General features: G+C 38.8%; 1 protein-coding gene and 1 long non-coding RNA gene across 36 annotated transcripts in view; one reads left to right on the forward strand and one right to left on the reverse strand.

Moving 5' to 3' along the window:
- ARB2A (ARB2 cotranscriptional regulator A) overlaps window positions 1-10586 on the reverse strand; it is a 493975-nt gene extending 483389 nt beyond the window's left edge. For 25 of the 31 annotated variants that reach the window (NR_028080.1, XR_007058646.1, NM_001163418.1 and 22 more), the window contains exon 1: window positions 10398-10586. The gene's annotated coding sequence lies outside the window, so the exon portion shown is untranslated. Of the gene's footprint in view, window positions 1-10074 lie in introns of all 31 variants that reach the window. The other 6 variants (XM_006714717.4, XM_047417811.1, XM_047417822.1 and 3 more) reach the window with 4 other exon arrangements.
- The window catches only part of LOC105379087 (uncharacterized), a 140268-nt gene continuing 131261 nt past the window's right edge, over window positions 10479-19485 (forward strand). For 2 of the 5 annotated variants that reach the window (XR_948581.3, XR_948580.3), the window contains exons 1-3: window positions 10599-11291; window positions 12442-12552; window positions 13634-13688. This is a non-coding gene — a long non-coding RNA (uncharacterized LOC105379087). Of the gene's footprint in view, window positions 11292-12441; window positions 12553-13633; window positions 13689-19485 lie in introns of all 5 variants that reach the window. The other 3 variants (XR_001742441.2, XR_001742443.2, XR_948582.2) reach the window with 3 other exon arrangements.

Below are 19485 nucleotides of genomic sequence, written 5' to 3' on the forward strand. Positions count from 1 at the left end.
AACAAACAACCCTATTAAAAAGTAAACAAAAGACATGAACAGATACTTCTTAAAAGACATACATGTGGCCAAGAAGCATATGAAAAAAAGCTCAATATCACTGATCATTAGAGAAATGCAAATCAAAACCACAATGAGATACCATCTCACACCAGTCAGAATGGCTATTATTAAAAAGTCAAAAAATAACAGATGCCTGCGAAGTTGTGGAGACCCTGATACATTGTCGGTAGGAGTGTAAATCTGTTCTACCATTGTGGAAAGCAGTATAGCGTTTCCTCAAAGAACTAAAAGCAGGGCTACCATTTGACGCTGCAATACCATCACCGGGTATACACTCAGAGGAAGACTATCTACCATAATGACACAAGCACGTGAATGTTCACTGCAGTACTGTTCACAACAGTAAAGATATGGAATCAACCTAAATGCCCATCAATGACAGACTGGATAAAGAAAATGTGGTAAATACACACCATGGAATATTACACAGTCATAAAAAAATGAGATAATGTCTTCTGCGGGAACATGGATGAAGCTGAAGGCTATCATCCTTAGCAAACTAACACAGTAACTGAAAAACAAATACTGACTGCATGTTCTCACTTGTAAGTGGGAGCCAAATGATGAGAACTCATGAACATAAAGAAAGGAACAACAGACACTGGGGTCTACTTAAGAGAGGGAGGTGAGGAGGAGGGCAATTAGCAGAAAAGATGACTATTGGGTACTGAGCTTGATACCTGGGTGATGTAGTAATATGTACAACAAACCCTGTGACACATGTTATCTATGTAGCAAACCTACACACGTATCCCCAAACCTAAAATAATTTTTTAAAAAAAGGAATAACCAGGAAAAAAAAAAGAATACTAAAGCCCTCCCCGTCATAGTGTAAATAATGAATAATTACAAAATGAAACTTTCCTCCTGAAAATTAGCTTTAACTATGTTATATCATAGGAAATAATATTAATAATTCCAAAGTAAAAAAAAAAAAAAAAAGTCAGAGTGTCTTCCTACCTCCAAATGACTGCACCACCTGCCAAAGAATGGTTCTTAACCAGGCTGAAATTATAGACATAGAATTCAGAATCTGGATGGCAAGGAGAATCATCAAGATTCAGGAGAAAGCTGAAACCCAATCCAAGGAATCTAAGGAATCCAATAAAATAATACAAGAACTTAAAGATGAAATAGTCATTTTAAGAAGGAACCAAACTGATCTGATAGAGATGAAAAACTAAAAGAATTTCATAATACAATCAGAAGTGCTGAGAAAAGAATAGACAAAACTGAGGAAAGAATCTCAAAGTTCAAAGACCAATTCTTCGAATGAACTCAATCAGACAAAAATAAAGGCAAACGAATAAAAAGAATGAACAAAATCTCCAAAAAACATGGGATTATGTAAACAGACCAAACATATGACACATTGGCATCCCTGAAAGAGAGAGACATGAGAAAGCAACTTAGAAAACATAATTAAAAATTATGAAAATTTCCCTAACCTCACTGGGGAGGTAGACATTCAAATTCAGAAACTGCAGAGAACCCCTGTAAGATGCTATTCAAGACAACCATGCTGAAGACAAATAGTCTTCAGATTCTCCATGGTCAAAGTGAAAGAAAAAATCTTAAAGGGAGCTAAAAAGAAGGGAGAGGTCACCTACAAAGGGAACCCCATCAGGCTAACAGCTGACCTTTCAGCAGAAACCCTACAAGCCAGAAAAGACTGGGGACCTTTATTCAGCATTCTTAAAGAAAGGAAATTCTAACCAAGAATTTCATATCTAGCCAAACTTTGCTTCATAAGTAAAAGAGAAATAAAATCCTTTTCAGATAAGCAAATACTAAGGGAATTCACTACCACCAGACCTGCCTTATAAGAGGTCCTTACGGAAGCACTAAATATGAAATTGAAAGGCCATTACTGGCCACCACAAAAACAAACACACTTAAGTACACAGACCATTGACACCATAAAGCAACTACAAAATTAAGTCTACATAACAAGCAGATAACAGCATAACAGGATCAAATGTTCACATATCAATACTGACTCTGAATGTAAATGGACTAACTACACCACTTAAGAGACACAGAGTGGCAATTTGAATAAAGAAACATGACCTAACTACATACTATCTTCAACAGACCCCTCTCACATGCAATGACACCCACAGACTCAGAGTAAGGGATAGAGAAAAATCTATCAAGCAAACAGAAAACAAAAAAGAGACAGATTGCTCTTTTAATTTGAGACAAAACAGACTTGAAAGCAACAATAATCAAAAAGGACTAAGAAGGGCATTAAATAATGATAAAGGGTTCAATTCAACATGAAAACTTTAACTACCCTAAATATACATGCATCCAACATTGGAGCACCCAGATTCATAAAATAAGTTCTTAGAGACCTACAAAGAGACTTAGATAACCACACGATAATAGTGGAAGACCTCACCTTGACACCCACTGACAGTACTAGACAGACCATCAAGGCACAAAACTAACAAAGATATTCAGGACCTAAACTTGACATTTGACCAAATGGCCCTAACAGATATCTACAGAACACTGCACTCAACTACAACAGAATATACATTCTTCTTATCTGCACATGACACATACTGTAATATTGACCACACACTCAGCCATAAAGGAATTCTCAACAGATTCAAAAAAAAAAAAAAAAAACTGAAATTATACCACATTCTTAACCACAGTACAAGAATAGATCTCTCAAAATCATATAATTATGTGGAAATTAAACAATCTGTTCCTGAATGACTTTGGGTAAACAATGAAATTAAGACAGAATTCAATAAATTTTTTGAAACTAATGAAAAGGAAGAAATGACATACCAGATTCTCTGAGACAGAGCTAAAGCAGTCTTCAAAGGAAAGTATATAGCACTAAACACCTACATCAAGTAGTTAGAAAGATCTCAAATTAACAACCTAAAATCACACCTAGAGCAACCAAAAAAAAAAAAAGTAAACTAACCCCAAAGCTAGCAGAAGAAAAAACCAAAATCAGAGCTGACTGAACAAAACTAAGACATGAAAAACTATACAAAAGGTCAATGAAACCAAAACGTCGTTCTCTGAAAGAATAAATAAGATTGACAGACCACTAGCTAGACAAATAAAGAAAAAAGGAAAGAAGTCCAAATAAACACAATCAGAAATGACAAAGTGAACATTACAACTGACCCCACAGAAATAAAAAAAAAAAACTCTCAGAGACTATTAGGAACACCTCTACCTACACAAACTAGAAATCTTAGAGAAAAATGGATAAGTTCCTCAAAACATACAACCTCCCAAGATTGAATCAGAAGGAAATTGAAACCCTGAACAGACCAATAGTGAATTTCAAAATTGATCAGTAATAAAAAGCCTACACCCAGAAGAAGTCCTGGAAAAGATAGATTGACAGCCAAATTCCACCCAACATATAAAGAAGAGCTGAAACCAACCCTACTAAACTATTCCAAAAAATGAGAAGGGACTCCTCGTCAAATCATTCTATGAAGCTAGCATCATTCTGATACCATAACTTTGTAGAAACACAACGAAAAAAGAAAACTTTAGACCAATATCCCTGATGAATATAGATGTAAAAATCCTCAACAAACACTAGCACACCAAAACCAGCAGCACATCAAAAACCTAATCTACCATGATCAAAATGGCTTTATTCCTGTTATACAAGGTTGGGTCAACATATGTAAATCAGTAAATGTGATTCAACACATAAACAAACCTAAAAACAAAAACCATATGATCATCTCAATAGGTGCAGAAAAGGCTTTTGATAAAATTTAACATGTGTTAAAAATTTTCAACAAACTAGACATTGAAGGAACATACCTTAAATAAAAAGAGCCAGTTATGACAAATCCACAGCAAACATCATACTAAATAGGCAAAAGCTAGAGACATTTCCCTTGAAAACCGGAACAAGACAAGCATGCCCACTCTCACCACAACTATTCAACATAGTACTGGAAATTTCAGCCAAAGCAATTAGGCAAGAGAAACAAATGAAAGGCATCCAAATTAAAAGGAAGTCATACTATCTCTGTTCACAGATGATATGATTCTACACTTATAAAACCCCATGCTCTCTACCCAATGGTTCCTAGATCTGATAAACAACTTCTGCAAAGTTTCAGGATACTAAATCAATGTCAAAAAAATCAGTAGCATTTCAGCAATAACGTCCAAGCTGAGAGCCAAATCAAGAATGCAATCCCATTCACAATAGCCACAAAAGAAATAAAATACCTAGGCATACAGCTCAACAGGGAGGTGAAAGAGCTCTACGATGAGAATTACAAAATGTTGCTGAAGAAATCGGAAACAACACAAATGGAAAGATATTCCTTACTCATGGATAGGAAGAATCAATATTATTTAAATGGCCATGCTGCTCAAAGTAATTTACAGATTCAATGCTACTCCTATCAAGCTACCAATGACATTTTTCACAGAACTAGAAAAAATATCTAACATTCATATGGAACTGAAAAATAGCCTGAATACCCAAAACCATCCTAAGCAAAAAGAAAAAAGCCAGAGGTATCACACTATCTGACTTCAAACTATACTACCAGGCTACAGTAACCAAAACAGCATGGTACTGGAAAAAAAAAAAAAACAGACACATAAAACAATGGAACAGAATAGAGAACCCAAAAATAAAGCCACACACCTAAAACCATCTGATCTTTAACAAAGTCAACAATAAGTAATGGGAAAAGGACTCCCTATTCAATAAAGAGTGCTGGGATAACTGCCTAGCCATATGCAGAAGATTGAAACTGAACCCTTTCCTTTTACCATACACAAAAATCCATTCAAGATGGATTAAAGACTTACATGTAAAGCCTTAAACTATAAAAACTCTAAAAGAAAATCTAGGCAATACCATTCTGAATCTAGGCCCTGGCAAAGATTTCATATGAAGACTCCAAAAGCAACTGCAACAAAAACAAAAATTGAAAAGAAAGACCTAATTAAACTAAAGAGCCTCTACACAGCAAAAGAAACTATCAACACAGTAAACAGACAACCTACAGAATGGGAGAAAAAAATTCGCAAACTATGCATCCTACAAAGGTCCCATAGCCAGGATCTATAAGGAACTTAAACAAATTAAAAAGCAAAAAAACCCATAAAAAATGGGCAAAGGACATGAACAGACAATTCTCAAAACAAGATATACACATGGACAACAAACATATGAAAAAATGCTCAACATCACTGAGCTTTAGAGAAATGCAAATCAAAACCAAAATAAGAACCATCTCACAACAGTTGGAAGGGCTATTGTTAAAAAGTCAAAAAATAACAGCTGCTGATGAGGTTGTGGAGAAAACTGAATGCTTATACAGTGGTGGGGGGAATGTAAATTTCAGCCACTGTGGAAAGCAGTTTGGAAATTTCTAAAGAACCTAAAACAGAAAGAACTGCCATTCAACTCAGCAATCCCATTCCTGGGTACCTACCCAAAGGAATATAAATCATTCTAATAAAAAGACAACATGTACTCATATGTCCATCGCAGCACTATTCAAAAAAGCAAAGACATGGAATCAACCTACATACCCATCAACAGTGGACTGAACAAAGAAAATGTGGCACATATACACCACGGAACACCACACAGCCATAAAAAAGAATAAAATCATGTCCTTTACAGCAACATGGATGGAGCTTCACATTATCCTATGTGAATCAATGCAGAAAAAAAAAAAAAAAAAAAAAACAAATACCACATGTTCTCACTTATACATGAAAGCTAAACATTAAGTATACATGGAGAAAGAAGGAAACAATACACAATGGGGTCTACTTCAGGGTGGAGGTTGGGAAGAGGATGAGAATTGAAAAACTACCTATCGGGTCACTGCACATGTACCCCCTGAACTAAAATAAAAGTTGGAAAGGAATAAAAGTTTAAAAATGAAATAAAAACTACTCCTTTAGCAATTTCCAAGTAAAACATAAATAATCTGATATGAAGAAATGCTTTGCTTTGATGGTCTTCACAGTGTTATTTTCTCTGAAGCAAAAATTATCTCAATTACGTATATTACAAAAGAGATCATTTCCTCCAAATGGAGACAACAAACAATATTAGAGAAAGCAGCATAGCACTTCTGTCTCTAATTTCTCTGTAACTTAGCTGTGAAACCTTGAGTCAGTCATCTGCCATCTCATCTGCAGTAAATTAATCAATTTTAATTTGCCAAGGAGTTACAAGTAAAATTGTCATACAATTTTTCATTCATTAAACTAAAGCAAAGTAATTGATTTAAATGAGCTTTATAACTGAAATAGCTCAACGTAGCACCCCCAAGAGTATCTAATAAATTATGACAGTGTACAAAACATTCAATAGTTAAAAAAAAAAAAAAAAAGACGTTGTTACCTTGAACTTATAGGCAATTGGACATTCTGGATTATTAAAAATGCCCTTCCTTCTTAACAGATTATATTTTAAAAATTTTTTACAGTTTTGGACATTGTTAAATTATACACTCAAATTACTCAGTTGAACTCATTATGAATAGAAATTATGTGGCACATGATCTGAACAACTTCGCTTACTCCTATAGAACTGTATACAGTGCACACCTTCCAAACACTCACTGTTGAGCTGTATGGACTAACATACATTATTTGATATACAGTAGATCTTACTGGATTACTCAGGGCCAACTGTCTCAATTCCGAACCACATACTGAGATGAAGCTGGTGATTTGCACTCCCTCATTCTACCCTCCATCCCATGCCAATCTGTAGAGCATAGCTCTATATTACTTTTTTTCACTTTGATTCTGGGTCCCCTCTCCTCTGCTGTCAGTTCTGGGGCTCATGATCCATCACTATTACTGATCTTTGCCACTCTCCATCTAGTGAAATCAAACTGCTACACTGATATCTAACACATCTTTTCTGTTTCTTCATCATTTTTTGGCTCTTCTGGTACCTGCTCTTCTCAGCAAGAACCAGAACACGTCTTTTCTGTTTCTTCATCCTGTTTGGCTCTTCTGGTCCCCGCTCTTCTCAGCTACAAAACAAACGACATCTACTACACAGGCACAGTCAGCCATTTAATATACTCCTTTTCTTCTAATTAAAAAGAAAAAAAAATCAAAACAGGCCAGGATAGTCTTTGGCTTTCTGAACTGTTTTCATGGCAATTTGAACCAAAAGGTTCATTTATTATTATAGAAGATGGTGTATTTTTTTTTTTAATTTCTAAGTTTGGAGTTACTACAGATACCTGGTCAACAGACAAGTTGAGAGTTTTTACAATTACAGGATTAAAGAGTTAAAATGCAATAAAAGTCATGGTGGCTGCCTTCTTAACCCTTAAAAACTCCACCAAATAAATCTCCAAAAATTTTTATTAAATCATATCTTAAAATAAATTCATAGAACTCCAAAAATATATACCAGTGGTCAAAAAGGACATGAAAAGATGCTTAACATCACCAATCATTAGGGAAGTGCAAATTAAAACCACAGAGAGATACTACTTTACACCCATCAGGATCGCTATTATCAAAAAAACAAAAAATGTGTTTGGCAAGGATGTGGAGAAATGGTGAGGATGTGGCAAAATGTTGGTGAGGATGTGGAGAAATTGGACTCCTTTGCATTGCTGGTGGGAATGTAAAATGAGGTGGCTGCTGTGGAAAAGAGTGTGTCAATTCCTCGAAAAAAAGTATACATATAGATATATATACATATAAAATTTCCATGTGATCTAGCAATTTCCCTTCTGGAGAGATATCGAAAAGAAATGAAAGCAGAGAGTTGAACAGATATTTGCACTCTCATGTTCATAGCAGCATTATTCACAATAACCAAAGGATGGAAACAACCCAAGCATCCATGGATGAATGAATGGATAAACAAAATGTATTAACAGCATATGCACACAATGGATAATTGTATTTCACCTTAAAAAGAACATTCTGACACACGCTACAACATGGACGAACGTTGGAGACATTATACTAAGTGAAATAAGCCAGTCACAAAAGGTCAAATAGTGCATGATTCCACTTATATGAGGTACCTAGAGTAGTCAAATTCATAGAGGCAGAAAGTAAATTGGCAGTTGTCAGGGGCTGAAGGTAACAGAAAACGAGGTGTGAGTGTTTAATAGGTATGAAGTTTCAGTTGGGGATGATGAAAAACTTCTGAGTGAAAAATAAAGTTGGCATAGTACAGGGACATACTCCATACTTAGTTACCAATGACTACTGTGCAAACCCAATCTGACTCTAAAAACAGAGACAGTACAAGTTGTATACAACTGAGTAAATAGTGCTTACTTTTGTTAGAGCTCAATGAAGAGCACAGAAACATCTCTACATATCTACAGACACCAGATTCTCCTCAGAGGTTTGTCTGGGAAAGCTGAAAAAAATAAACTGTAAATAAATAAAATCCCTCATGCCACCAAATCAAGGAATAAATATTCATTCTTGAGATTGTTAAGTACTGCTACCTCCATGCCTACATCCTTGCTATTCCAAATATATCAAACACGCTCCTGTCTCAGTGCCTTTGTACTAGGCCAACTCATTCCTCCATACTTGCGGAGCTCACTCCCTCATTTCATTCAGATCTCCACTCAAGTGTTCCCTTATCAGAGAGGGTGAGCTTACCACCCTATCTAAAATAGCATCCTCTATCATTCTCTCTCCCCTTAATTTATTTTTCTCTATACCTCTTTTTTTTTTTTTTTTTTTTTCTGGAGACGGAGTCTCGATCTGTCACCCAGGCTGGAGTGCAGTGGCATGATGTCGGCTCACTGCAACCTCCGCCTTCCCGGTTCAAGCAATTCTCCTGCCTCAGCCTCCAGAGTAGCTGGGAATACAGGCGCACGCCACCACACCCAGCTAATTTTTTTGTATTTTAGTAGAGACGGGGTTCACCGTGTTGCCCAGGCTGGTCTCAAACTCCAGGGATCAGGCAATCCGTCCGCCTCGGCCTCCCAAAATGCTAGGATTACAGGCGTGAGCCACCGCGCCCTGCCTTTCTCTATACCTCTTAATCACTACTTGTTATATATTTACTTGTTAATTATACGTCTCCATCCACTAGAATGTAAGTTCCAGGAGCAAAAGGACTTTCTATTTTGTTTACTGCTGTCTTCCCATCACCTGAACACTATCCGGCACACTGAAGGTTGCCAGTAAATACTTGCTAAATGGATAAACAAGTGGATGCTCATGGTTTCATAGATAATATTTCCCTCTTGGCCTTGGTACTATTTATTCTACCATATGGAGCAGCCATAGCCTGAAAGCATCCAGAGCATCCTTAACTTTTCAGCGTAGGATTCACTGGTTAAGTGGAAGTAAGGCCTAGTTGAAAATTCTGAAAGAAGCCTGGTACCAGCACTGTCACTGAGGCCTTAACGAAGCAGATCCAAAAATACTCTCTTACTCAGTTTCTACATTCGCTAAATGTATACAGTGTAACCGTCCCTCGCATTGTAGGATAAAGAATACACCTTATCAATGAGATATTTGTTATGCAGTATATGGCATGCGTTAATGCAAACGATGTCATGTACTACATTAAAAAATCGCACTGATATTTTGATAAATATACAATGCACTTGTAGATAAAAACCAGAGAATTTTTCCCTCTACAGCTTTTTTGAGGATTTGGGAGAAATGGACAAATGCAACAACATTGCATGTCATTAAATACAGTATATCCAAACACAACGAGTTTCTTGGCCCAACAGATATAGACCCTGGAGCACTATAAGAATATGTTAAACACCTGGATGAGGGAAAGAGAAGACTGCTTCCAAAACATACTTACTTTATTTCAAAGTCAAAAGTATTCAACACTTAATTCATACTGCATCCCAGAGAAACGTCCCACCCGCGCCCATGCATGTTACAAGTTTTGAGAGCATTTTATAACTGCACTTTAATCCCTCTGCAGTGAATGACTTCTGGTAAAGCGCTGGCAGTTAATAATACTTTTTGTAGAAAAAAAAATTAATACAACAACCACAATACCTCCACTCGCAAGAAAGCGGAGGAGGGCCCATTACTCTGTCTCCAGGGACTCCCAGAATCCCGTACGCCCCGACATAAGGAAAGTCATCCAGGGAACACACACGTCGCTCCCGCCTAGAGAGTGGAAATGGAACATGGGACCTGCCCATCAGCGGAGGCCCAGACACAAGTCAGAGGTGTCCGCAGGGAATGCAGCGTGGTTCCAGACAGCCTCGGTCCCCAGGGCCAGCGACCACCGCCTGAGACCGACCCAGGCCAGCCCCCTCCTGATTTCGACCCGGGCCTGCCCCCGGAGCTCACATCCCCGCAAACGGCAGTCCTACCTGAGCTCTGCCCCCAGCCACAGGGCTGAGGGGGCAGGCGGGAGGAGGCGTGGCCTTCCAGTTCGCCAGTCGAACTCCCTCGTGCGGTTGTTATGACTTTCCCTCTCGGGATCCGCGCCCCGACCAAGTTCGAGTTGCACTTCCGGGGTCTTCAGGAGATTGATACGTCATTACGCACTTGACGGCAGCGGCGGCGACAACCCGGAAACGGGCGGGGCGCGGGCCCTGGGTAGGTTCCTGTGGTATTAGGTGGACTGGAGAAAGAGGCCCGCGTGAATTAAGTGTAGTTCTCTTATGCACTGGCGGACTCTGGTCGCCCTTCCTTGTGAAGGCTGCCTGGGTAGCCGTAGAGGACGAGGCCACTCTAAAGCCTCGTTTTCCCAGCGGAATTTTAACTATTCTAAGGATGTCCTTACAGCCAGTTCCCCACTCCGCTACTCAGAGTGTGTCAGACTTTACCCTGTCCATTCAACTCCAGAAAAACCGGGAGGTCTAGATTCGGAAGATTAAATTTACCTTTGAATTAGGACATGTAAAATAGGAAGTTAATATTAGCATCCTAATGACAAAAGTTTTCTCGTTATCATACTTGACTCAAATGGGAATCTTACGGATATTAATGTTTTTTCCAGAAACAGGTTTGAAAGGTATTTCAAGGATAAATCTGGGGAAAGGGATGGAAGCAACTGATTTTTAATTTTTAGATAGTACTCTCAGAGCATTTATTTAGTCCAAAACTGTTAATTTAATGAATTAGGCTAAACTAGACGCTGGGGTAACAAAGCTGAGTTAGATACCCTCTCCTCTGAGGCAGCTAAAGAGAAGGAAAGTCTGGTGGCTGACAAGTAAACCAACAGTTATGTTCTTCAGAGAGGAGATCTCAGACTCTCTAAGGTATACTTCACTTCCACACTGTTTGTACTTTGCAAATGTACCCTGCCCCCTAAAATGTAAACTCACTGATGGTAGTGACATAATCTTGTCTTTTTAATGTATCCTCAACCATACAACAGTGCCTGTCCACAAAGTAGACAATAAATACTTATTGAATGACTGAATGATCACAGTGGTAAATAATAGATTGGGGAAATCTAGAAAAGTGTATAGGACAAGAAGAAAGTGGTGTAAGTAAGTGGCGGGAGATAAGGAGCAGTAAAAGGTGAGAGAATCCACTGGAGTTAGCCAGAACTGAGTACCTGAATGAATCTCGGGCATTGCAAGACTGTTAGGGCTTCATTTCCGGAAAGAACTCAAATGGTTTGTAGAGTGACACTTTATACTGAAGAGGAAGGCAACAGCCAGATTCTGAAAAGCTTTCTATGTCATGCTGAGTAATTTGATTTTCTGCTGCAGACAATTGGGGAAGCTGAAGGATTGTTGAACAGAGGAGGGAAACATTTTTATTTTGGTGGACTTTTGCAACAGTGACAGATTATATTAAAAAGATAAGGCTCCCAAAAATGTATAATCCCAGTTTAACCATGAGAAAAACATCAGACAAAATACCTGACCAGTACTACTCCAAACAGTTAAAGTCATGAAAAACAAGGAAAGTCTGAGAAACTGTCTGAGCCAAGAGGAGCCTAAAGAGACCAACTTTAATGTTGGATCCTGAAATAGAAATAGAACGTAAGTGAGAAAACTAGTGAAAATTGAATAAAAAAGTAACATTCCATTAAGAGAATATACCAATGTTTACATAAAATATGGAGATTGGTCAAAAGATGAGTGACATGACCTTTCAATATTTCCAGGATAGAGGCCCACTCAAGGGTTAGGGGAATGTACTTTGTTCAGTAGTAAACTATTGAACAAACATATGGGTGCTTCAGCCTGCAATTCCAGCTGGACTTACATGGGAATGAATGAGCCTTCAGATTGTTCCTGTCATTGAGTCAGCTGGGGTCCAAAATTTCATAAAGCAGAGACGAGCCATCCCCACTGTGCCCAGTTCTGAATTCCTGACCCACAGAAACAATTAGAGATAATGAAAATGATTCTTGTTACTTTAAGCCAGTAAATTTTGGAGTGATTTGTTTTTCAGCAAAAGAAACTAATAGCTGTATGACAACAGCCAAAGAGTAAATATCCTTTCAAGTCCAATCCTGCCTAAGATGTCAAAATCAAGAATGAAGAGGTTATGTGCTGAAACAGAGTGAGTCCTTTTCTCTCCTTACTCTACCCTAAATGGTAAACTCCTGCCTCAGCTGACCACAAAAATATCTTCTGCAAATCTGTGAGGAGAAAGGAGGGAAAGCAACAAAAATTGTATGTGGGCTTAGATGTTTTGTTAGAATTACAACAGCCCATGTGTAGCTTAGCAGAAACCATTACAATGATGACTACACAATATAGTACAAAAATGTCCCCTCATTTTAACCATAGTCATCTAAACTGTACAAGTTAGTTTATAATTTTAATTTATACATCTCTAGGGAAGCCAGAAACTTCAGTTTCTCTCCCCACCTCTCTTCTCTTGCACTTCAAAATCCTACTAAGATAAGGAAAAAGGAAAGGAGATTTGTTCCCTCCTGGCTAACAGCTGGTCCATCTTTGATCACTAGGATGATCAAAGAAATGTCCCTATACCATATTTTGCGTATCCTCCTCCTATTCCAGACCACTTCCTTGGGCATCTATCTTTTTATCAATCTACTCCCACCCTTCACATTAAATGATTTCAGTGACATACAGCAGACAGACACCTCCAAAAATACTAACAAGGCTACATGTTGTTCATTTAAGTTAAAAATAAAATTTAAACCTACTTATCATGACTAGGACTCAGTGCCAACATTTTGGCAGCTCAAGAAAATCCATTAAGGAAAATATTCTTAATTAGATGCTAAGGGCAAAGCTCTGTCCAAACTAACCAACTGTATTAGAATGAGGTCTGGATTCTGACTTAAATTTGGAGAATCAAGTAACATTCCTGCCCTTGCTCAAGCCCAAGCAGGAATGTGCTGTGGTTTGAATGTGTTCTCTAAAAATTCATGCATTGGAAACATAATTGCCATTGTAATAATATTAAGAAGTGAAGCTTTAAAGAGGTGATTTAGGTGATAGGGACTGTGCCCTCATAAAAGGATGAATGCCATTATTGTGGGAGTGGGTTAGTTATCATGGGAGTGAGCTCCTGATAAAAGGATAAATTTGGTCCCCATTTTCTCTCTGTCTTGTGCACTCTCACTACTCTGTCTCACCCTCTCTCCCCCTGTGATGCTTTCTGCCACAAGATGACCTTCACAAGATGCAGCCTCTGGATCTTGGACTTCCCCAGCCTCCAGAACTGTAAGCCAAATGAATCTCTTTGTTTATAAATTACCCAGTGTGTGGTATTCTTACAGCAGCAGAAAATGGACTAAGACAGTATGTGTGAAGTGTGGATAGTAATTACAACAAGTTCTGCCTTCTAGATTCAGTTTATATTTAAAGCCCAAAAAGTAGGATCATATAACCAAATAATTTCTAATGACCCCTCCAACAAAATGATTATTACTTGAAATCAACCCCCTATCACTTGTACTTTCCATCTAGATGCTGGGGACACAAAACTGAGTTAGACCCAAGAACACCCTTTTCATTATGCCTGGAATTTTTTTAAAATGAGAAAAGATAACATATCAGTGTTCAAAACATACTTTAAGAGAATTTCGAACAAAAAAACATAAAATAGCCTCTAGTTTGTGATGGAGACAATTTGTAGGTTGATATATTTACCTAGAGTTAGACAACCTGTGAGGTTTGAGGGCACAGTCTCTAAGGTGTCCCTGATTTCTGACACCAACTGCAAGTTTGGAGGGTTCCCAGAAACACCCTCAGGTTTGAAATTTTGCTAGAAGGTCTCACAGAACTCACTGAAAGCTGTTATCTTTACAGTTACCATTTATTACAAGGAAAGAATACAGACTAACATCAGCCAAGGGAAGAAACACGTAAGGCAGAGTCCAAAAGGGTACCAAACACAGCGCTTTTGCTATACTCTTCCATTATTTGCTGTACTTTCCCAGTGGAGTCAAGACATGTTACCCTCCCAAAATCCATCCATGACAATATGCAATATAGAATTGCCAGTAACCCTTTTCCTGTTTGCCCTAAGAATACTCACGAGTGGCACTTGCAGCTGCAGCATTTACCTTGAGATTACTTTGCTGATATTGTTTGATGTGTCCCCCCCCCAAATCTCATGTTGAATTCCCATGTGTTGTGGGAAGGACCCATGGGAGGTAATTGAATCATGGGGGCAGGTCTTTCCCTGCTGTTCTTGTAATAGTGAATAAGTCTCACAAGATCAGATAGTTTTAAAATGGAAGTTTCCCTGCACAAGTTCTCTTCTCTTGTCTGCTGCCATGTGAGATGTACCTTTCAACTTCTGCCATGATTGTGAGGCCTCCCCAGCCATGTGGAATTGTAAGCCCATTAAACCTCTTTCTTTTGTAAATTGCCCAGTCTTGAGTATGTTGGATCTGTTTGGAGGGCTCTGAAGAAGACAGGAAAATGTGGGAAAGTTTGGAACTCCCTAGAGACTTGTTGAATGGCTTTGACCAAAATGCTGATAATGATATAAACAATGAAACCCAGGCTGAGGTGATCTCAGATGGAGATGAGGAACTTGTTGGGAACTGGAGCAAAGGTGACTCTTGTTATGTTTTAGCAAAGAAACTGGTAGCGTTTTGCCCCTGCCCTAGAGATTTGTCGAACTTTGAATTTGAGAGACATGATTTAGGGTATCTGGCAGAAGAAATTTCTAAGCAGCAAAGCATTCAAGAGGTGACTTGGATGCTGTTAAAAGCATTCAGTTTAAAAGGGAAACAGAGCATAAAAGTTTGGAAATTCTGTAGCCTGACAATGTAGAAAAGAAAATCCCATTTTTTGAGGAGAAATTCAAGCTGGCTGCAGAAATTTGCATAACTAATGAGGAGATGAATGTTAATCACCAAGACAATGGGGAAAATGTCTCCAGGGCATGTCACAGACCTTTGTGGCAGCCCCTCCCACCACAGGCCCAGAGGTTTAGGAGGAAAAAATGGTTTCGTGGGCGGGGCCCAGGGTCCCTCTGCTGTGTGCAGTCTAGGGACTTGGTGCCCTGCATCCCAGCCACTCCAGCCATAACTAAAAAGGATCAAGGTGCAGCATGGGCTTTTGCTTCAGAAGGTAGAAGCCCCCAAGCCTTGGCAGCTTCCACATGATTTTAAGCCTGTGGATGCACAGATATCAAGAACTGAGGTTTGGGAACCTCCACCTAGATTTCAGAGGATGAAAGGAAATGCCTGGATGCCCAGGCAGAAGTTTGCTACAGGGGTGGGGCCCTCTGGGAGAACCTCTGCTAGGGCAGTGTGGAAGGCAAGTATGGGGTCAGAGCCCCCACACAGAGTCCCTACTGGGGCACTGCAGAGGGGAGCTTTGAGAAGAGAGCCACTGTCTTCAGACTCCGGAATGGTAGATCCACTGACAGCTTGCACCGTGTGCCTGGAAAAGCTGCAAACACTCACCACCAGTCCATGAAAGCAGCCAGGAGGGAGACTGTACTCTGCAAAGCCACAGGGACTGAACTGCCCAAGACCATGGGAACCCACCTCTTGCATCATCATAGTCTGGATGTGAGACACGGAGTCAAAGGAGATCATTTTGGAGCTTTAAGATTTGACTGCTGGATTTTGGACTTGCATGGGCCCTGTAACCCCTTTGTTTTGGCCAATTTCTCCCATTAGGAATGGCTGTATTTACCCAATGTCTGTACCCCATTGTATCTAGAAAGAAACTAACTTACTTTTAGGTTTACAGGCTCATAAACTGAAGGCACTTGCCTTATCTTGGATGAGACTTTGGACTGTGGACTTTTGAGTTAATGCTAAAATTAGTGAAGACTTTGGGGGACCATTGGCTTGGTTTTGAAATAGGAGGACATGAGATTTGGGAGGGGGCCAGAGGCAGAATGACGTGGTTTGGCTGTGTCCACACCCACATCTCATCTTGAATTCCCATGTGTTATGGGAGGGACCCAGTGGGAGGTAACAGAATCATGAGGGCAGGTCTTTCCCTGCTGTCACCATGATAGTGAATAAGTCTCATGAGATCTGATGGTTCTAAAAAGGAGAGTTTCCCTGCACAAGTTCTCTTCTTTTTCTGCTGCCATGTGAGATGTGCCTTTCACCTTCCACCATGATTGTGAGGCCTCCCCAGCCATGTGGAACCATAAGTCCATTAAGCCTCTTACTTTTGTAAATTGCCCAGTCCTTGGTATGTCTTTATCAGCAGTGTGAAAATGGACTAATGCATTTGCCATGAAGTATCTTGCTTTTATTATTATTTTCATATCACTCTAGTATATCAACTTTTGAAACAAAAGACATTCTATTTATAGCATTCAAATTTTAGTAGTGGCATTTCCATTTGCAAATATAGTAATTCTGTATTGCTGAAAATGTCAAATCCTAGAAAATGAAGCATTCCTACATGTGATGTTAACATCATTCTCAAACAGTTGTTGGCTGAAGATTCAATTGATGAATCTGATTTTTCTGAAAGAGATCATTCTGATGATTCAGACTATTCTGATGTTAGTTCCGTTTAGAAATAACTCCAAGAACAGTTTTCATATTTTATTTTTCACATAGAAAATCAATCAGACTTGCTTCAGCCTCAAAGAGCATGTTTATGTAAAATTAAATGAGCACTGGCAGTGAGCTGCACTTATTTTCCTAAATGGGAATAGTTAGGGAAGCTCACGAGAGCTTCAACATTCAGAATTTTTGAGGGGCTCCATTGTGGAGGCATCACTGATCCATTGTCCATATGGAACTCAGTCTTCAGGTCAGATGATACATGACCCAAAGCCTCTAAGTCATGTGGTTGGTCTTTCTAGCTTGGGGAGCCTCTACCCTAAAACTGTTGGACATAGTCAGTCTTCCTAAACAAAAACACTTTTGCCAGCTATGATAGGTTATTTCCCAGAATCTGAGGCCACAGGCCAGAACTCTCTTTAGGAAAGGCCCAATTCTTTACTATACAATATTTCACATGGACTCCTATATAAGTTTTATTTGGATGAGAGGTGGTAGGCAAAGGAAGAGAAATGGTAATTAAGTCTCTGTCATACTAGTGAAATCATCAGGAATAGGTGATTAGTTTTAAGTAGTACAGAGACCAGTCTTCTTCAGTTTAGTCCTAGAGAACCTTTCCATTTTCTACTTAGTGTCTCTCTTTTAAATTTCTTCTCACCATTCCTTTATGAAAAGAGAGAATAAAATAGTGTGAGCTTTCTTGTGAGCTATGTAAAGATAAGACAACAAAGAGGAAATATGTAAAGGATAGGCTCTCTGACCCTGACCTTTTTCTGATCTCTTGAATAGTAATTGGATAGGTTGGAAACAGCTGTGGAAAGCTGTAGCTGCATCCCTAACAGAGATTTGTTTCTAAACTAAGCCTTTATGATAAAACTCCCTAATGATAAAAAAAAACCATGAAAATCCCCTAAACGGCCCACAAAGTACAGAATATATGAAGTTATGCTTATACTCTAGATCTTTACTTCTTATGCACACTCAAATGTGAAACTTCTGAAATAGTTTAAATGTTAGAGCTAAAGAAGAGTTTGTGTGCAGATATCTGAGAATTTAAACAATTCTGATAAATCCAGTGGGCAACTCGGTCTTTATTGTAACCATTCAGCAGCACTTAACACGATTTAACATCCTCTTTCTTAAAACTTGAAACACTTTCTGCATTTGACTTTTGTGAAATTATGGAGCTCTTTGATTTTCCTTTGCTGAATTTTTCCTGACCTCTAGATGTTAATGTGCCTGAGATGTGTTCCCTTCTTTATCTGCCTTTATTCCTGAGTTTATCCCATCCACTCCCTTCACTATTATATGGCATCACGATGCTGATGGCTTCCAAATATCCATATCCAGCCCCGATTTCTTTGATTTTCATATTCATATATCTAACTTCTTATTCAACATATCTATTAAAATATTCAACATACATTTCAAACTTCTTATTTTCTACCTCCAAAAGCTACTCCTATTGCATACCTCTTCATCTCACTAAATGACACATTGATTCTTACAATTGTTCAGGTTGTCCTTTGATTCTTTATCTCTCGTATTTCACACACAATTCCTCAGGAAAATCTGTTGCCTGTCTTCAAAAGGTAACCTAAATCTATCCAATTCCCAGCATCTCTACTACAACTATTCTAGTCCACAATAGATGCTGTAATTGATTGTTCTGCATGCTTCTGTTTTTGCCTCCCTACAATCTAGTCTCCAATTGGCAGCTGTGGATATCTTCTAAAAATTCATACCAGAACTTGTTGCTTCCCTGATCAAAATCTTTAATAAGTTTCCTCACTCAAATAGAATACAATCCAAAACCATTTCTATAAGCCTATAAAGTCCTGCATGATCTGGCCCTTCACTACCTCATACCTCCACTGAGTCAGCAGATGGTAAAAGACTGTTTTGAAGGGATGGAGAAAGCACTTGGCCAATAACCTTGGAGTTTCATAAATGGCAGTCTCAAAGTCAAGTACCTGGCTCTTTCCTAAAAATATTTAAAGACGAGAGAATTACTGAGGGTACCTTTGATGAGAGAGTAAGGAGATAAGAACTGTCATGTCTTCCCAACAGCTAGTGGACATGATCATACATGGATGGGTGTATTCGTTTTCTAGGCCTACCATAACAAAGTATTTCAGACTGGGTGGCTTACACAACATAAATTCATTTTTTCATAGTTCTGAAGACTAGAAGTCCAAGATCAAGGTCATGGCAGGGCTGGTTCCTTCTGAGGACTGTGAGAGAGAATCTGTTCCGTGCTTTCCTCCTAGCTTCTGGTAGTTTGCTGGCTATCTTTGGTGTTCTTTGGATTGTAGATGCGTCACCCAGATTTCTGCCTTTATCTTCACTTGGCATTTTCCCTGTGTGCTTGTCTCTGCATCAAAAGTTTTCCCTTTTATAGGAACACAAGTCATATTGGATTCAGTCTAACCTTAATGACGTTATTTTAACTTGATTACCTCTGTGATGACATTAGTTCCAAATAAGGACACATTCGGAGGTAGTTGAGGTTAGGAAAGACTTCA

The sequence above is a fragment of the Homo sapiens genome, chromosome 5, assembly GCF_000001405.40.
Source record: "Homo sapiens chromosome 5, GRCh38.p14 Primary Assembly".
In the NCBI taxonomy this organism is placed as follows: domain Eukaryota; kingdom Metazoa; phylum Chordata; class Mammalia; order Primates; family Hominidae; genus Homo; species Homo sapiens.